Here is a 19,861-nt window from a genome sequence, read left to right as displayed (position 1 = left end):
TGGCTTATAATCCCAGCACTGTAGAGGCCGGGGGGAGAGGACCTCTTAAGCCCAGTAGTTTGATACCAGCCTGGACAACAAAGCAAGACCTCTTGTCTACAAAAAAATAAAATAAAATATAATAAAATAGTAAAATAAAATAAATTAAAAATTAGCTGGCTGTGGTGGTGCTCACCTATAGTCCCAACTACCCTGGAGGCTGAGGCAAGAGGATCAATTAGGCCCAGGAGTTCAAGGTTACATTGAGCTATGATTGTGCCACTGCGCTCTAGCCTGGGCAACAGAATGGGACCCTGTCTCTAAAACAATATTAAATGAATAAAATAAAAATAAAATATATAAAACATAAAATATTTATACAAAGTATAAGGTATATGAGGTTTTGCCAGTATGTCTAATATATCCCCTTTACAATGTGGCTCCTGTTGAGTATGGCTTTTTAATTATTTTATTTTATTTTATCTTATTTTATTTTATTTTGATACAGTCACCTACCTTTCAAAGCAGTATTAAAACTACAATTTAGCTTCAAGCTCAGTGTCAGGGTAAACAGTAATGTACAATCTGTCTTTGGTGTGCCTTGCAAAACCTGTTTCATCCCACTCACAGTAGCTAATTGTGGATGACATGGATATTATTCCAGACCAGGGGTACTCAGCATTTCCCCACACTTTAACTATGTACAGTTAACTTCACCCTCATATGAGATAGTGTTTTGAAGAAACACTTCTTGGATAATTTTAAAATGGTAAGATAGCCTGGACTATTAGAAAGTGCACTGTAAGAGTCAAAACCTAGATTCTATATACGGCTTTGATGCTTAAGTAGTTGTATGAATTTAGGCCTGTTATCTTCCCGGGCTTCATTTTTCTCATGTATGAAATGAGAAGGTTGGACTAGATAATTGATGTGTTTTGTTATTTAGCAACCATTATTTAGAACCTACCATATGCCTTCATATTTTGAGAGTAGATATTATAGAGATAGAAGAGACTATGATCCCTACTTCAAGTATTGCAACATCTGGTGGGGGAGACAGACATAAACCAACAACAGTAATTCAATGTGATGATCTCTAATGACTTTCCAGTTATGAATCAAAATGAATTTTTTCTTTTTCCTTATTAATACATGTGTAGCACACACACACACACACACACACACACCCTTTCATACATGAGCCAATTGATTGCAGAGAAGTACAAGCAGAGACAGATGCCAAAAGGATAATTGTCAATTAAAGAAGTGATTTTTTTCACAAGAAGAATGATGATATTTTCTCATTGGATTTTATTCACAGTTACTTTGTCCATATGGAGAGAAGCTAACTGGGAGAGGTTTATAAAAGCTAATATTGAGTAAATGGTCATGCAAAAACTGTTTCCACTTAGTTTCATAATTACTGGGCCATTTCTGAAGCCAATTGGCTTCTCATGTAGAGCTCTGCTCTTTAACGTCTCTGATTGTCATGGTAACCAGGGATGACTGCCCTGGATGATTGTTTTAATGGTGTATAGGAAGGGAATTAGAGAACAATAGCATAGGAGAATACCAAGTCCAGGGATTCAGACTCAAAAGCTCTAAGTCAAGTTCTGCCTCTACTAATTACCTATTCAATATATTTCTGATCTAAAAAAATGTCCCTAGGCAATTCACTTCATCTTCCTGTGCAAGTTTTTTTTTTTTCCGTTAAAATATAATGACTTTTGTCTACCTCACGGGAAGGTGGGAAAACTTAAAGTTCTTCTTGTCTTTAAAGAACTACACAGGGACCAGGTGCAGTGGTTCACGCCTGTAATCCCAGCACTTTGGGAGGCCAAGGCGGGTGGATCACGAGGTCAGGAGTCCAAGACCGGCCTGGCCAAGATGGTGAAAACCCGTCTCTACTAAAAATACAAAAATTAGCCAGGCGTGGTTGTGGGCGCCTGTAATCCCAGTTAGTCGGGAGGCTGAGACAGAGAATTGCTTGAATCCAGGAGACAGAGTTTGCAGTTTGAACCCAGGAGGCGGAGGTTGCAGTGAGCCGAGATCGTGCCACTGCACTCCAGCCTTGGTGACAGAGTGAGACTCCATCTTTAAAAAAAAAAAAACACTACACACATATTTGATGGAGGTGTATATTTTGGGGAGTAAAATGAGAAAGAGTAGTCAATGTTGGGAATGGGAAATTTCAATATATAACATAGTCATATCAGCTCAGAGCACAGGGGCATTGGAAAAAACCTGGCCCCATCTTCTCACTTTACAGATGAAGAAACCAAGGTTCACTAGAAAAAATACTAAGTCTTATGCTATATTACATATGCACATATTCCAGTCACATACTAAGCAATGAAAATAAAAATTAGTCATAAAGACATTTTATAAATTCAGGCATATTTAAGACAGTGACTAATGATTTTTGTTTTGTTTTGTGTTTTGATATTTTGATATTGAATACTTACATATTTTACGAATTCACTGGACAATTTCTTTCCAGGTTTAGTTTTCTGCTCTAAAAAAATATTGTCTCAGGACAAACCATCTCTCAACACATGAGACATAATGTTGAAGAAAATTAACAACTGTAAGTTCATAAATCTATGTTTGAAAAATACCCAGGCTTCTGAATTCCAGTAGCAAGAGATTGCCTCTAAACTTGCCTCTAAACAAATTGGCAATTTCCAACTTGCCTCATTCACTCTATTCATTTATAGACAATTTCAAGATAGAAGAGTAGCAGTAATTGTTGGGAGACAATTATCCATGGGTTTCTCCCACATATCTGAACTTCCTCTGAGCAAAGGCACTACCATCTGATCCAGAATATACTTTCAAAAAAGTTTATGTGGTTAACAGCTTTGGTAGATAATGATAGTGTCTCTCTTTCAGCAATTGGAGGGAAAGCTTACAAGCTATTATAAAATATTAAGATTCACTAAGCCCAGGATTCCTCTCCTGTAATGAATCCACTGTGTGTGCAGATGTTTGTTACTTGGCCCTATTTTTGCTGCCCCATCAGAATTGGGCCTCAGGAGAATATTATGAAAATGCTGATCCCCTGGATGCTTCTCTGGATTTAAGAAGCTATTCTTCATCTCTGACCCAATAATCTGTGTCTTCTACCAGCATGCATAAAACTGTGGCCATTTAAATTGTTAGCTTACAAGTAAAACCTCAGAAGCCAGTCCTTGAAAGTAGTTATGTGTCTTGTTCACTAACATCCCTTCCATTACAGAAAATTAATATAATCCCATTCCCATTCCTGTTTGATAAAGATTGGCTTACAAATATGCGTGTTATGCTAAACTGGCCAAAGCAATGTGAGAGAAAGTGTGGGAGAAGTCCATTCTAGAGTTTTATAAATCAAAGATAAAGGCTGCTTTTCTTCTTGGTTGAGTGCTGTCATGATATCTCAGTGTGATACTTGGAAACATTTCAGCATTCTTGCTACAACCCTGGGATGACAAAAATTACATCTAGAGAAACAAGAGAACTTCAGAGAACAGCCCTGACTTAAGAACTTTCAGCCACTTAACTGCTACTATGTTGGAGAATGTATTTCCTTATTTACGCTTTGGGCTTTTCTGTTTGTTTGTTTGTTTTTATCCTTATGCACGCTGATATAGTTGCCTATAAGCAATGACTCTACTGACTCACCATACATTCCCTCTTTGACTCACTACAATGAGACTTCTCCTCCCATCACTACACTAGATTAACAATTACTTATTTAATTTTAATTTTTGTTTTCATGTACAAATGGGAAAAAGCATAAAACTTATAAGTACAATTTAAAATTTAACAATAAAGCAAGACCCAAATCACTAACCATTTTATGTAATGAAATTTTGGCAGCATCATTGAAGGCCCCCTGTGTGCCCATCATGGACCCAGTTTCTCCCTATCCCCCTAGATATAACCACTGTTCAGAATTTTGTCATTAACGTTGCCATGCTTTCCTTTATAGCTTCATCCGCAACCATGCTTTCCCTCATCAATATAGTTTAGCTTTCCCTGCTTTTCAACTTTATATAAATGGAGTAATACTCTATGTATTATTTTTTGTCTAGCTTCTTTGTCAATTTCTATGTGACATTCATCCATGTTGCTGTGCAAACCTTCCATATTTTTCAGTTACATTGTTGCATAATATTCCATTGTATGACTATGGCACCATTTATTTATACATGGTATATTTGGTAGAAATTTGGATTTTTTCTTATTTGGGACAAATAATAAAAATCCTGACATTCACATTTTTGTAAAGATACCTTGCTACCTATCTCCACAATATTTTCTAGGTTATATACCTAGAAGTGAAATTCCTGTTTCCTATGATATGCATACTTTCAATTTTGCTAGATAATATCAAATATTTTTGCAAACTGCCATATCAGTTTATACTCCCACTAAAAATACATGAGATTATCCATTTACCACATTCTCTGCAACACTTAGTATTGTCAGATTTTTAAATTTTAGCTAAACAATTAAAAGATAGTCTCATTGTATTTTAAGCTTGCATTTTTCTGATTACTAATATAACTCTGTTATAAAGAAGTTGAGCATCATTTTGTATGTTTACAGGCCATTACGTTATGTTCTATTCTGACTTGCATGTACAAGTATTTTACCCATTTATTTGTATTGTCCTTTTAAAGTTTATTTTTATTTTTTTAATTATACTTTAAGTTTTAGGGTACATGTGCACAATGTGCAGGTTAGTTACATATGTATACATGTGCCATGCTGGTGTGTTGCACCCATTAACTCGTCATTTAACATTAGGTATATCTCCTAATGCCATCCTTCCCTCCTCCTCCCACCCCACAACAGGCCCCAGTGTGTGATGTTCCCCTTCCTGTGTCCATGTGTTCTCATTGTTCAATTCCCACCTATGAGTGAGAACATGCAGTGTTTGGTTTTTTTGTCCTTGCGATAGTTTGTGAGAATGATGGTTTCCAGTTTCATCCATGTCCCTACAAAGGACATGAACTCATCCTTTTTTATGGCTGCATAGTATTCCATGGTGTATATGTGCCACATTTTCTTAATCCAGTCTATCATTGTTGGACATTTGGGTTGGTTCCAAGTCTTTGCTATTGTGAATAGTGCTGCAATAAACATACGTGTGCATGTGTCTTTATAGCAGCATGATTTATAATCCTTTGGGTATATACCCAGTAATGGGATGGCTGGGTCAAATGGTATTTCTAGTTCTAGATCCCTGAGGAATCGCCACACTGACTTCCACAATGGTTGAACTAGTTTACAGTTCCACCAACAGTGTAAAAGTGTTCCTATTTCTCCACATCCTCTCCAGCACCTGTTGTTTCCTGACTTTTTAATGATCACCATTCTAACTGGTGTGAGATGGTATCTCATTGTGGTTTTGATTTGCATTTCTCTGATGGCCAGTGATGAAAAGCATTTTTTCATGTGTCTTCTGGCTGCATAAATGTCTTCTTTTGAGAAGTGTCTGTTCATATCCTTCTCCCACTTTTTAATGGGGTTGTTTGTTTTTTTTCTTGTAAATTTGTTTGAGTTCTTTGTAGATTCTGGATATTAGCCCTTTGTCAGATGAGTAGATTGCAAAAATTTTCTCCCATTCTGTAGGTTGTCTGTTCACTCTGATGGTAGTTTCTTTTGCTATGCAGAAGCTCTTTAGTTTAATTAGATCCCATTTGTCTATTTTGGCTTTTGTTGCCATTGCTTTTGGTGTTTTAGACATGAAGTCCTTGCCCATGCCTATGTCCTGAATGGTATTGCCTAGGTTTTCTTCTAGGGTTTTTATGGTTTTAGGTCTAACATGTAAGTCTTTAATCCATCTTGAATTAATTTTTGTCTAAGGTGTAAGGAAGGGATCCAGTTTCAGCTTTCTACATATGGCTAGCCAGTTTTCCCAGCACCATTTATTAAATAGGGAATCATTTCCCCATATCTTGTTTTTGTCAGGTTTGTCAAAGGTCAGATGATTGTAGATATGCGGCATTATTTCTGAGGGCTCTGTTCTGTTCCATTGGTCTATATATCTGTTTTGGTACCAGTACCATGCTGTTTTGGTTACTGTAGCCTTGTAGTATAGTTTGAAGTCAGGTAGCATGATGCCTCCAGCTTTGTTCTTTTGGCTTACGATTGACTTGGCAATGCGGGCTCTTTTTTGGTTCCATATGAAGGAAGCACTAAACTTGGAAAGGAACAACTGGTACCAGCCACTGCAAAAACATGCCAAATTGTAAAGACCATTGAGGCTAGGAAGAAACTGCATCAACTAACGAGCAAAATAACCAGCTAACATCATAATGACAGGACCAAATTCACACATAACAATATTAACCTTAAATGTAAATGGGCTAAACGCTCCAATTAAAAGACACAGACTGGCAAATTGGATAAAGAGTCAAGACCCATCAGTGTGCTGTATTCAGGAAACCCATCTCATGTGCAGAGACACACATAGACTCAAAATAAAGGGATGGAGGAATATCTACCAAGCAAATGGAAAACAAAAAAAAGCAGGGGTTGCAATCCTAGTCTCTGATAAAACAGACTTTAAACCAACAAAGATCAAAAGAGACAAAGAAGGCCATTACATAATAGTAAAGGGATCAATTCAACAAGAAGAGCAATCTATCCTAAATATATATGCACCCAATACAGGAGCACCCAGATTCATAAAGCAAGTCCTTAGAAACCTAGAAAGAGACTTAGACTCCCATACAATAATAATGGGAGACTTTAAAGTTTATTTTTAGAAGTTCCTTATTTGTTCTGGGTATTGGTTACAGACACCGTGATGCAAATATCTTCTTCCATCATCTGTGGCTTTCTTTTCTTTGTGGTGATTTATAGGATGTAAGTTCAAAATTTTAATGCAGTCCAATCATCAATTTTCTCTTTACAGTAAAAATGTTTTGCGATCGGTTTAAGAAATCTTTTCTTAAAATGAGGTCATGATATAACATTATCTATCTTTAGAATATTATCTTAGAAAAGTTTTAAAGCTTTTACTTTTATGTCAAAAATTTCAATCCACATGGAATTCATTGTGTACACATTATGCAATAAAGGTCAGCTAATTGTCTTATCCCCATTGATTCCTCACTGATCAGCAGTGCCTCCTTTGTTATAATTCAAATAGAAGTCCTTTTTTTTTTTTTTTTTTTTAAATCGGGATCTCCCTATGTTGCCCAGGCTGGGATGCATTGGCTAGTCACAGGTGTGATCATAGCACACTACAACCATGAACTCTCAAGCCATGTCCCTGCCTTCTGCCTCAACCTCCCTAGGAGCTGGGTGTGCACCTGGCTGAACGTGTTTCTAAATTCCTCATGCTGTTCATTCAAATGGATAATGAGGTCACCACTCGATATAAAATAAAAATAAACGGCTGTACTTATTGTTTACTAGAGTAAGGGAGAAGTCTGCTTATAGAGAAATTTCTGAGAACAGATAGCTGATCTTATTTAGGGTCTTTAGGAAGCATGGAGTTTAGGGGATTGATGATGTACTTTCAGAGATGTAAATGAATTCAGGTAACTTGGAGATCCATTTGATTCAAATACTACTAGTACTGATAGGTTGGCAGTCACAGGTGGGTTTACTGGAGTGAGTTCATTCCTGATTGGCTTATTTTCAGAAGAAATGGAAGACACCGATTGCTTGGCTTAGAAAAGCGTGTTTCCTCATGGACACAGAGAGGGGAACAACACACACCATAGCCTGTTGGGGGTGGTGGGTGAGGGGAGGGAACTTACAGGACAGGTCAATAGTTTCAGCAAACCACCATGGCTAACGTATACCTATGTAACTAACCTGCACGTTCTGCACATGTATCCTGTTTTTCCTTTTAGAGTAAATAAAGTTAAGAAAGAAAGGAAGGAAGGAACAAAGGAAGGAAGGAAGGAAGGAAGGAAGGAAGGATCGATCCAATGGAAAAATGGGCCAAACATGTTACCTGAATTCCATTAAGGAGGAAAGAAACATTAAAAAAAAAAAAAAAAAAAGAAAGAAAAGAAAAAGAAAAGTGTGTTCTGTAAGGCAAGTTGTTGATTATTTGAACAGCTTTAAAATTTGTTCAGATGACTACTTGTTATCATAACCAAACAAAAATCTATCTTTTCCTAAATTTGTGGAAACTTTTTTTTTTTTGAAATGGAGTTTCACTCTTGTTGCCCAGGCTGGAATCTTGGCTCACCTTTGTGTAGCTGGGATTACAGGCATGTGCCACCACGCCCGGCTGATTTTGTATTTTTAGTAGAGACGGGGTTTCTGCATGTTGGTCAGGCTGGTCTCGAAGTCCCGACCTCAGGTGATCCGCCCCCGATGGCCTCCCAAAGTGCTGGGATTATAGGCGTGAGCCACGGTGCCCAGCCGGGAACTTTTTAAAATGTCAATTCCATTGGTCATTTGTCTAATTAAGCATTAATATAATACAGTGTTAATTACTGTGACTTTATTATGAATCTTAATATCTGATACAAGTTGTTCCACTTTTTTCTTTTTTCTTTGAGTGTCTTAGGTATTTGTATTCATTTCACTTCTGTATAAATTTCAGAAACTACTTTTCAGTTCATACAGACACAAACATGATTATGTTTGTACACCATTAAAACTTGAGGTCAATTTACATAATAAAATTACATCTTCTAATCCAAGGGTATGGTGTATTTTTTTCATTTGTTGAGATTTTTCTTTGTGTCATTCAAAAAGTTTTAGAGTTTTTTCCATAGCAGTCTTGCACGTCTTTTGCTAGCTTTATTACTAGGTACATCATATTATCTTATAATATTATAAATGTCATATTTAATGCCTGATTGCTTGTTTCTAGTAAATAAAGCTTTGCAATTGATTTTTATTAGGTTGGTTTTTTAGGTCATTATACTAGGTCCCAACACAATGTTGAATGGGAGTTGTGAGAGGCAGAATTCTCCTGGCCACATGTTAGACTGCCATCCCCAAGCTTCTTTTTTGTAATTACATGTGGACATGTGACTCAGTACTTGTCAATAAAATATGGGAAGAATTGTAGCATGCAACTTCCAAGTCTTACCTATCAAATAATGACAAGGGGACCTTCAATTCTTCCCACTTTCTATTTGTTAGGTAGAGAAAACTCTTAAAACCCACAGAAGGGCAAGCTGTAAAATAAAAGGTGTCTAGAAACCTGAATGCCACATACATTGACACGTAATCAAGAATATTCACACTGCACTGTCAAATAAGTAAAAATTTATTGTATTAAGTCACTTAGCCTTTGGATATTATCTAGTATATTAATTAGAAATCATTACCTTAATTACATACAAAAGTTAATTAATTTTCAGTATTTTTTAATAAATATTTCTAATGTATATATTTTGACTCAAAAGTTTCTTTAGCTGCATCCAACAAGTTTTGATATGCATTATTTTATTTTCATTTTCTTAGTTCAAAATATTTCTAGTTTCCATTTAATTTCTTCCTTCGGTTACATAAAAATATTTTTTCTTTCCAAGAAGAGATATTTACTTTCAAACATGAATATGATAAAGAAAAATCTTATGGTATATATTTCCAGCTTAATTATATTGTATTTAGATAACATGCCCTATATGTTTTATCCTTGAACAATTGTTTCAACTTGGTACCCAAATTAAGGTCAACTTTTATAACAGCTATATTTAGATGTATGCAAAAAGAATGTGTTATGTAGTTACAGGATGCTATGTTCTGTATATTTTTAAGGTCTAATTTGTAATAATGTTGCTTAAATATGTTCTATACTTACTGATTTGTGGTCTGCTTGATCTGCCAGTTACTCAAAAAATATGTTCAAAATTCCGACTTTGCTCGTGAGATTTTAAAATTTCCCTTAGACTCTTGTTGAGTTTTTGCTTTACATATTTTAAAGCTATGTCATTAGCTGCATATAAATAAGAATTATGACTTCCTGATAAATTTAAACTTTTATCATCCTAAATGATTTTCTTTTGCTCTAGTAATATTTTTTCCTTAGACTTTGTCTGATATTAATATCATGGTCTTTTGGATGGTATTATCACTGTATGTCTTTTTCCATTCTTTTAGTTTCAACCTTTTTGTATTTTTTTTGTATATTTGTATATTTCTGATATATATAGTATATATATATCTCATATATAGTATATATATCTCACATATAGTATATATATATCATATATATATACTAGATATACTATATATACTATAGTGTAGTATACTATATATACTATACTATACTATACTATAGTATATACTATATATAGTATATACTATACTATACTATAGTATATACATACTATATATAGTATATACTATATACTATATATAGTATATACTATATATAGTATATACTATATATACTATATATAGTATATACTATATATACTATAGTATACTATATATAGTATATATATACAATATATATACATATATAGTAATTAGCACTATTTAAAGAATATATGTATATATTAGTACTATTTATATATATTAATTAGCACTATTTAAAGAGTATAAATATATATGTGTATATCTATACTCTTTAAATAGTACTAATGTATATATGTACTCTTTTAATAGTACATATGTGTGTGTGTGTACATATATATATATACACACTCTTTAAATAGTACTAATTAGATCTTTTTCTAATTTACTATGCCAAATTTGTTTTTACTTGGATAATTTAATCCATTTACATTTTAATGTTTTTACTAGTTCATTTTAATCTCTTCTTTTATCCTTTCTCTTTGTCCTATTGTTGTGTGTACTTTCTCCTTTTTAAATTTCTTTTGGAATAGTTTTTATGTTATTATCTTTTGCTATTTATTCTCTTGGAAGTAATGCATCATTCCCTTTTTTATTTAGTGGGTGTTAAAATTTACATGATCGACATATCAAAGTATACACCTAATTAGTAATGCCTTTACTCTTCCTGGACAATACAGAACCTTAAAACATTCATTTGCTGCACTCTTGGCTTATATGTTTTTGTTTTAGTGATTTGTAATTTTTTTTTTTTTTTTTACTTTGTGATACTTCACTTTCTCCAGATCTTGCTTTTATAATGCTTCTGGTCCCTGGTAAAGATGGAATGACTAATCATAGGATATCATGCGACCATGCGAGCTAGGTTTCATCAGACTGATCAAACCACATGGACAGGTAGATTCAATAGCAATTCATTGTAACAACGAGATTTTACACCTATGATTAGACACAAGTAGGAACAACAAACACAAGTAAGCTGCACAAGCAGACAGCTCAGAAGCTCATGTCATCCACCAATGCTGCACCAACAGACCCAAAATTCATGGGTATCTACTCACTGGTTGTACAGGATCCTCTTGTCATCATCTAATAAACAAGGGAAAAGCCTGAGCTTAGTTAATGGATATGCTGGCTCCATGTGTGGATGCAAGCTGAAAATGAAAAGCAGTTGTGCTAAAGCCTCACTCATACATGGAGCCCGCAGGTATTCTACCTACTGGGGATGATACCATGTAATGGTCATTCAATTAGTTGTACACCACTTCCTTCAGGATGCCATCCCAACCTCACAGGGTATCATCAATAAGTTGGTACATCAACTGTGCCTTCAAAACACTATTCTGGGTGGGCACGGTGGCTCGTGCCTGTAATCCCAGTACTTTGGGAAGCCGAAGCAGGCAAATCACCTGAGGTTTAGGATTTCAAGACCAGCCTGGCAAACATGGTGAAACCCCGTCTCCACTAAAAATACAAAAAAATTAGCCAGGCATGGTGGTGTGTGCTTGTAATCCCAGCTACTCGGGAAGTTGAGGCAGAAGAATTGCTTGAACCCAGGAGGTGGAAGTTGCAGTGAGCTGAGAGATCATGCCACTGTACTCCAGCTTGGGTGACAGAGAGGGACTCCGTATCAAAAAAAAAAAAAAAAAAGAAAGAAAAAGAAAACAAAACAAAAAAACCCCCAACATTCTATTACTCCATCTGCCAGAAGTGTTTGGGTCATGTAGTGTCATAAGACCACTGGTCAGATGCTTATTACTACACCTCATTTGTCAAAGATGGATTCTTGGCCAAGCATACTGATGTGCCCTCGGTTAGCAATGTTGGCAAGGTTTCTACAGGCAGGAAAGAAAAGCATGTGCCTGGAATATGTGCCACTTCCAGTCTATAAGAATTTCTGCCTTTTCCAAGATAGGAAGGGTACAATAGAATTAATTTCCAACAAGTGATGACTTGGTTTCAAATTACCAAGTGATGACTTAGTCTACTTGAGGCATGAAGTTATATTTGGGGTTCAGCTTTGGTCTCCTTTTCTGGAGGGAGATTAGACAGTGTTGGCATTAGACAGTTGTAGCAGTTAGATCAGTCTTGGTAGGTGAGAGCCCAGGCTCTTTGGTCCATTCATTCCCTCTAAGCATACATCCACAGCTTTTTCCCTCCCATAAACCCATTGTGACACTAGACAGCACTGAGAAGGGTCAGCAAAAGATGCTGGCTGACACCAACCAGCCAGGTGATTTGATCCACTTCGTTGTTTACTGACTCTGCTGCTCTGGTAGGTGCTCTCTGGTAAGCATAACATGTAATACAAAGATGTTTACACTTCTTACTTGTTCCCTTATGCCCTTCCACAAGCTTTGCCCCAGACTTCCTTGTCTTGATCTCACAATCTTTCTCTTTCCTGGGCTCTAACAAAGCAGACAAACCATTTGCCACAGACCATGGCATGAGGATTACACACACACACACACACACACACACACACACACACACACAGAGTTTAGGAACTGCAGCATGTAAGAGTGTCTTCACCATCATTGCCAGTGATGGAGGACTTGGAGAATTTGTGCTTCGTCTCTGCAATGTTAGTCTTCTGTATGTCTAAAGATCCTATTTATAGTGAGACAAGGTGCTTTATGAGAGAAATGTAAACAAAGAAGATATCATCTCTCAGAGTTTACAGTTACTGAGTGATTGAGAGAGATAACAAATTAAAAAATACAGTACAAAGTATTTTGTGTTTTTTAAATTTATTTTTTAAAAATTTCAATAGCTTTTTGGGTTACAAGTGGTTCTGGGTTACATAGATGAATTACACAGTGATGAAGTCTGAAATTTTAGTGCACCCATCATCAGAGTAGTATACATCGTATCTAATATATAGGATTTTTACCCTTCATCCACTCTCACTCTCCACCTTTCTGAGTCTCCAATGTCCATTATACCACTCTGTATGCCTTTGTGTACCCATAACTTAGCTCCCACTTATAAGTGAGAACATGCAGTATAGTTTTTCATTCCTGAGTTACTTCACTTAGAATGATGACCTCCAGTTCTATCCAAGTGCCTGCAAAGGATATTATTTCATTCTTTATCCACTCATCTATTCATGGAACTTAGCTTGGATCCATATCTTTAGAACTATGAATTTTGCTGTGATAAACATATGTGTACAGGTGTCTTTTTGATATAATGACTTCTTTTTCCTTGGGTAGATACCCGGTAATGGCATTGCTGGATTGAATGGTAGACCTACTTTTAGTTATTTGAGAAATTCTCCATACAGTTTTCCACAGAGGTTACACTACTTTGCATTCTCATCAGCAGTGTATAAGCATTCCCTTTTCACCACATCCATGCCAACATCTATTGTTTCTCAGACTTTTTAATAATGGTCATTATACCTGGGGTAAGGTAGATCTCATTGTGGTTTTAATTTGCAGTTTTCTGATGACAAGTAATGGGGAGCAATTTTTTCATATACTTGTTGGCCATCTGTGTATCTTCTTTTGAGAAATGTGTATTTGTGTATCTTGCCCACTTTTTATTAGATTATTTGATTTTTTTCTTACTGATTTGTTTGAGTTCCTTGTAGATTCTGGATGTTAATTCTTTGTTGGATGTATAGTTTGCAAATATTTTCTCCCACTTTGTGAGTTGTCAATTTCTTCTGATGATTATTTATTTTCCTCTGCAGAAGCTTTTTTAGTTTAATTAGCTTTTTACTTTAATTTAGTTTAATTATTTTTTGTTTTGTTGCATTTGCTTTTGAGGTCTTAGTTACAATTTCTTTTTCTAGACCAATGTCCAGAAGAGTTTTTCCTAAGTTTTTTCTGAGAATTGTTATGGTTCCAGGTCTCAGATTTAAGTCTTTAATTCATCTTGAGTTGATTTTTGTGTATTGTGAGAGAAAAGGATCCAGTTTCACTCTTCTACATGTGGCTATCCAATTTTCCCAGCACCATTTATTGAATAGGGTGTCTTTTTCCCAATTTAAGTTTTTGTATACTTTGTCAAAAATCAACTGGTTGTAAGTATTTGGCTTTATTTTTGGGTTCTGTAGTCTATTCCATTGGTCTATGTGTCTACTTTTATACAAGTACCATGCTGTTTTTGTTATTGTAGGCTTATAGTATAATTTGAAGTTGGGTAATGTGATGCCTCCAGATTTGCTCTTTTTGTGTAGGATTGGTTTGGCTAATCAGATTCATTTTTGGTTCCATATGAATTTTAGGATTGTTATTTTCTAATTTTTTGAAAAATGATGTTGGCATTTTGATAGGAATTGCACTGAATCTGTAGATTGCTTTGGGCAATATAGTAATTTTCACAATATTGATTATTCCAATCCATGAGAATGGGATGTATTTCCAATTGTGTCATCTATGATTTTCGTCAGCAGTGTTTTGTAGTTCTTGTAGAAAGATCTTTTACTTCCTTCGTTAAGTATATTCCTAGGAATTTTATTTCTTTTGCAGCTATTGTAAAAGAGATTGAGTTCTTGATTTGATTCTCAGCTTGGTTGTTGGTATACAGCAGTGCTACTGATTTGTGTGCACTGATTTTGTAATCTGATACTTTATGGAATTCATTTACCAAATCTAGGAGTCTTTTGGAAGCCTCTTTAGAGTTTGCTAGGTATCAAATCATATCATTGGCAAACAGAGATAGTTATACTTCCTCTTTTCGAATTTGGATGACCTTTATTTCTTTCTCTTACCTGATTGCTGTAGCTATAACTTCCAGTACTATGTTAAATGGAAGTGGTAAAAGTGTATGTCCTTGTCTTTTTTCAGTTTGTAGGAATAATACTTTCAACTTTTCCCCATTCACAGTATAGGCTGTGGGTTTTTCATATATGGGTTTTATCATTTTGAGGTATGTTCCTTCTATGCCTAGGTTGTTGAGGTTTTTATCATAAAGGGATGCTGGATTTACCAAATGCTTTTTCTGTGTCTATTGAGATGATCATATAGTTTTTTGTTTTTAATTCTGCAGCCACATTTACTGACTTGCATATGTTAAACCATTCCTCCGTTACTGGGATGAAATCCATTTTATTATGTTGAGTTATCTTTTTGATGTGCTATTGGATTCCATTTACAAGTATTTTGTTGAGGCATTTTGCATCTATTTTCATCAGGGATATTGGTCTACCATTTTCTTTGTTATGTCCTTTCTTGTCTTTGGTATCTGGGTGATACTGGCTTCATAGAATGAGTTAGGGAGGATTCCCTCTTTCTTATTCTTTTGGAATAGTTTTAGTGGACTATCATTGTCTTACCAATTCTTATCAGGTAGAATTCAGCTGTGAATCTATCTAACCCTGGGCTTCTTTGTTGTTGGTAAATTTTTTATTACTGATTCAATCTTACTGCTTGTTATTGATTTCTATTTCTTCCTGATTAAAGCTAGGAGAGTTGTACGTTTCCAGGAATTTATCAATTTGATCTAAGTGTTCTTGTTTGTGTGTAGAGGTGTTCATGGTAGTCTCAAATAATCTTTGGTATATCTGTGGCATCAGTTGTAACATCTCCATTTTCATTTCTAATTGAGCTTATTTAAATCTTTTATTTTCTTGGTTAATCTAGCTAATGATCTATTGATTTTGTTTATCTTTTCAAAGAACCAACTTTTTATTTCATTGATCTTTTGTATTTTTTGTTCCAATTTCATTAAATTCTACTCTGACCTTTGTTATTTCTTTTCTTCTGCTAGCTTTGGGTGTGTTGTGTTCTTGTTTTTCTAGTTCCTTGATGTGTGATGTTAAGTGGTCTATTTGTGATCTTTCAGACTTTTGATGTAGGTACTTACTATTATAAACTTTTGTCTTAGAACTGCTTTTGCTGTATCCCAGAGGTTTTTATAACTTTTGTCACTGTTATCATTCATTTCAAAGAATTTTTAAATTTCTATCTTGATTTTATTGTTTACCCAAAAATCATTCAGGAGCAGAATGTTTAATTTCCATGTATTCGTATAGTTTTGAGGTTCCCTTTTGGAATTGAGTTCTCATTTTATTCTGCTGTGTTCTGAGAAGATATTTGATATAATTGCAGTTTTTTGAAAGTATTGAGACTTGTTTTGTGGCCTGTCATATGGTCTATCTTTAATTATATTTCATGTACTGATGAGAAGAATGCATATTCTGCAGTTCTTGAGTAGAATGCTCTATAAATATCTGTTAGTTCCATTTGTTCTAGAGTGCAGTTTAAGTGCAGTGTTTCCTTCTTGACTTTCTGTTTCAATGATATCTCTAGTGCTGTCAGTGGAAGGCTGAATTCTCCCACTATTATTGTGTTGCTATCTCTCTTCTTAGGTCTATTTGTAATTGTTTCATGAGTCCAGGAGCTCCAGATTTAGGTGCATATATATTTAGGATTGTTATATCTACTTATTGGATTCATCTTTTTATTATCATATAATGGCCTTTGTCTTTTTTATTGTTGTTGCTTTAAAGTCTGTTTTATTTGATATAATTGTAAATACTCCTGCAGGATTTTGGCTTTCATTTGTGTGGAAATTCTTTTTCCATCACTTTACCTTGAGTGTTTTATCTTTACGTTTCATGTGAGTCTCTTGAAGAGAGCAGATATTTTGTTTGTGATTTCTTAATTCATTTGAAAATCTGTATGTTTTAAGTGGAGCATTTAGACCATTTATATTCAGCATTAATATTGAGACATGAGGTACTGTTCCAGTGACTGTGTTGATTGTTACTTAGTTACTTTGTTTTCTCCATTTTGTTATTTTTTATAGGTCCTGTGAATTTTATGCTTTCAAGAGATTCTATTCTGGTACATGTCAACCTTTTGTTTCAAGATTTAGAACTTCTTTTAGCACATTTTTAGGACTGGTTTGGTAGTGACAACCTCCCTCAACATTTGATTGACTGAAAACAAAATTTTATTTCTCCTTCATTTATAAAACTTAGTCTTGCTAGATACAAAATTCTTGGCTGACAGTTGTGCTGTTTAAGGCAGCTAAAGATAGGACCCCAATCTCTACTGGATTGTAAGGCTTCTGCTGAGAAGTCTGCTGTAAGTCTGATAGGTTTTGCTGTATAGGTTACCTGATGGCTTTCGTCTCACTGCTCTTACAATTCTTTTCTTCACATTGACTTTATAGCCTGATGACTATATGCCTTGGTGATGTCCTTTTTTTCAGTGAATCTCCCAGGAGTTATTTGAGCTTCTTGTATTTGGATGTCTAAATCTCTAGCAAGGCCAGAAAATTTTCCTCAATTATTCCCTCAAATAAGTTTTCTAAGCATTTTTTTGCTTTTCCTTCTCCCTCAGGAATACCAGTGATTCCTAGGTTTGGCCATTTTCCAAAATCTCATATTTCTTTGAGACTTTGTTGATTCTTTTAAAAATTCTTTTTTATTTAATTTTGTCTGATTGAGTTAATGCAAAAGGCTTGTCTTCAAGCTCTGAAATTCTTTTTTCTACTTGGCCTAGTCCATTGTTAGAACTTTCCACTTCACTTTGTAATTCCCTAAATGTGACTTTGATTTCCAGAATTCTGATTTTTTTTTCTTTAAAACAGGTATTTCTTTAGAAAAAATTTTATACATATTCTCACTTGTTTTTGTAAATTTCTTTATGTTGGTTTTCACCTTTTTCTTGTATCTTCTTGAGTAATTTAATAATCAATGTTTTGAATTATTTATCTGGTATTTCAAAGATTTTGTCTTGGTTTGGATCCATTGATGGAGAGCTAGTAGGATGTTATGGGGTATTACATAACCCTGTCTTTTCATATTGCTGGAATAATTTTTCTGGTTTCTTCTCATTTGCATAGACTATTTCTTCTAATTATGTTTGAATTTATTTTTTTATTCAACTTTTATTTTATGCCTCCCCCACCCCTCTGATGATGTAACTTTAATGCTTACAGTTTATTGTAACCTAATTTAGCTCTGAGTGCTTTCGATGGTGAAGACTCCGTATGGGTTCCTTTTTTACAGAGCGTGTATGATGGTTTTCTCAGATGCTAGTTGTAGTGGCAATGTGCTTCATGTGTGAGCAGGCTCACTTCTCCTGTGGGGTTAGAATTGCAAAGTTGCACGAAGCTTATTTCATTCCCCAGTGGTGTGCACATTTATTTATTTATTTTCCCCAATATTTTATTAACTGAGTTAAACAGCTCAGGCTTAGGCCAGTAGTAGGTTTCTACAGGTAAAAACTGGTTGTGGCCAAAGCAGGTAGGTAAGTACAATATTCAATGGCAGGCAGAGGTCCCACTGGGAGAGGTCTACTGGGAGAGCTCTCAGTGAAATGCTTTAAGGTATGTTCAGGGGTAAGGGAGGAAGCCACCTCAGCTCCCCTACCAGGTCATGAGAGTGATATTCCTCCCAGTCACACTCCTGATCCAGTGTTTCAGCTATTCACATTGGAAAGGCACCTCTTTTCATCTGCAGGAATGCTAACGTTCCATGTATGGAGGGGTTGTGACTGTACCCCTTGTGCAAGCCTGGACTTGAAAGGCACTCCTCCTGTGGGGATGCAGCCACCCTAAAGTGTTCCAGAAAGGCTGTAGACAGGTGCACCCATGCTGAGCTCCCATGGGAGAGGGCCCAACTCTGTCTTCAGTAGTAAATGTGGGGAAGAAAAAGTCTCCTTCTCCAAGGCCCTTCTCGAGCTCCAAGGCCCTTCAGGAGCTCCAAGGCTGTCTGACTGTTGAGATAGAGCTGCAGACTTTCCCCACTGAGCCCAGCACTGCAACTGTGCCTCTGCTGAAAAAAACTTCCCACAACAGCAAGTTGTGGGACTCAAGGCCACCATCTGAATTCTTTTGTCCCACGGAGTGCTCTTGTGACACACTGCCCTCCCTCTTCCCCTAGGAGTAGGAGTCCCTGAGGGACAGACTAATGTGAATCCTGCTGCTCCTCTATGTCTGGCTACCCAGTAGAGCAGCCACACTCCAGGCTGGTACTGGGGAATGTTGGTAAGGAATCCAGTGATATGACCTGTCCTCAAGTCTCCCAGCAGCAGGTACCAACAACAGCTCTGATGGGGATGGCAGGGGAGAGATACGGACTCTGTGATATTTTCTTAGTTAGAAATAGCCTTAGTGTATTCGTTTTCTCAAATGCCAGTTGCAGTAGTAATAAACTGTTCATGTGGACATCCTCAAGGCCTTCTGGTTAGCCAGGGTGATGTAGGCAATGGTGACGGCTGATGTCATACAAAACGTTTCTCCTTCCTGGGCACTGTGTATTCTGCCTGCAGATGCTATAATGAACTGTGTCAGTTGGTCTCCATCCAGGAGGTGATGCTTGCAAAGGAGCACCAGCTTTGGTGGTAGCAGTGGGATTTATGCTTGCTTTATGTTACCCAGGGGAGGGGCTCTGGTGTCTCAGGCAATGCATGGAGCCATGGGGCTCCCAAAAGTTTCTGTCCTTTGAGTTAAGATACCAGGGAGGGTGATGGGGCAAAGCCAGATGTGGACTGGGTCAGGTAACGCTGTACTCTTGCTCCTCATGTGCAGGAGCAAGCAGCAGCCCCAGTGGCAATTAGAGGGCAGCTCTCTGAGCACTGGGGTAGCATTCCAGGTAAGAGCCCAGCTACCTTTGTAGCACAGAAAAATCCGCACAGGGATTGGGGAATGG

General features: G+C 36.1%; 1 annotated feature.

Moving 5' to 3' along the window:
• Positions 1,211–1,755: an enhancer, noted in NCBI's record as "OCT4-NANOG hESC enhancer chr3:189166776-189167320 (GRCh37/hg19 assembly coordinates)". NCBI's record gives its function as "activates a minimal SCP1, AML or CMV promoter by ChIP-STARR-seq in naive H9 embryonic stem cells {active_cell/tissue: H9 hESC(naive)}" and the evidence as "EXISTENCE:reporter gene assay evidence [ECO:0000049][PMID:30033119]".

The sequence above is a fragment of the Homo sapiens genome, chromosome 3, assembly GCF_000001405.40.
Source record: "Homo sapiens chromosome 3, GRCh38.p14 Primary Assembly".
NCBI classification, from domain to species: domain Eukaryota; kingdom Metazoa; phylum Chordata; class Mammalia; order Primates; family Hominidae; genus Homo; species Homo sapiens.
This window is presented reverse-complemented; position numbering and strand designations above follow the sequence as displayed.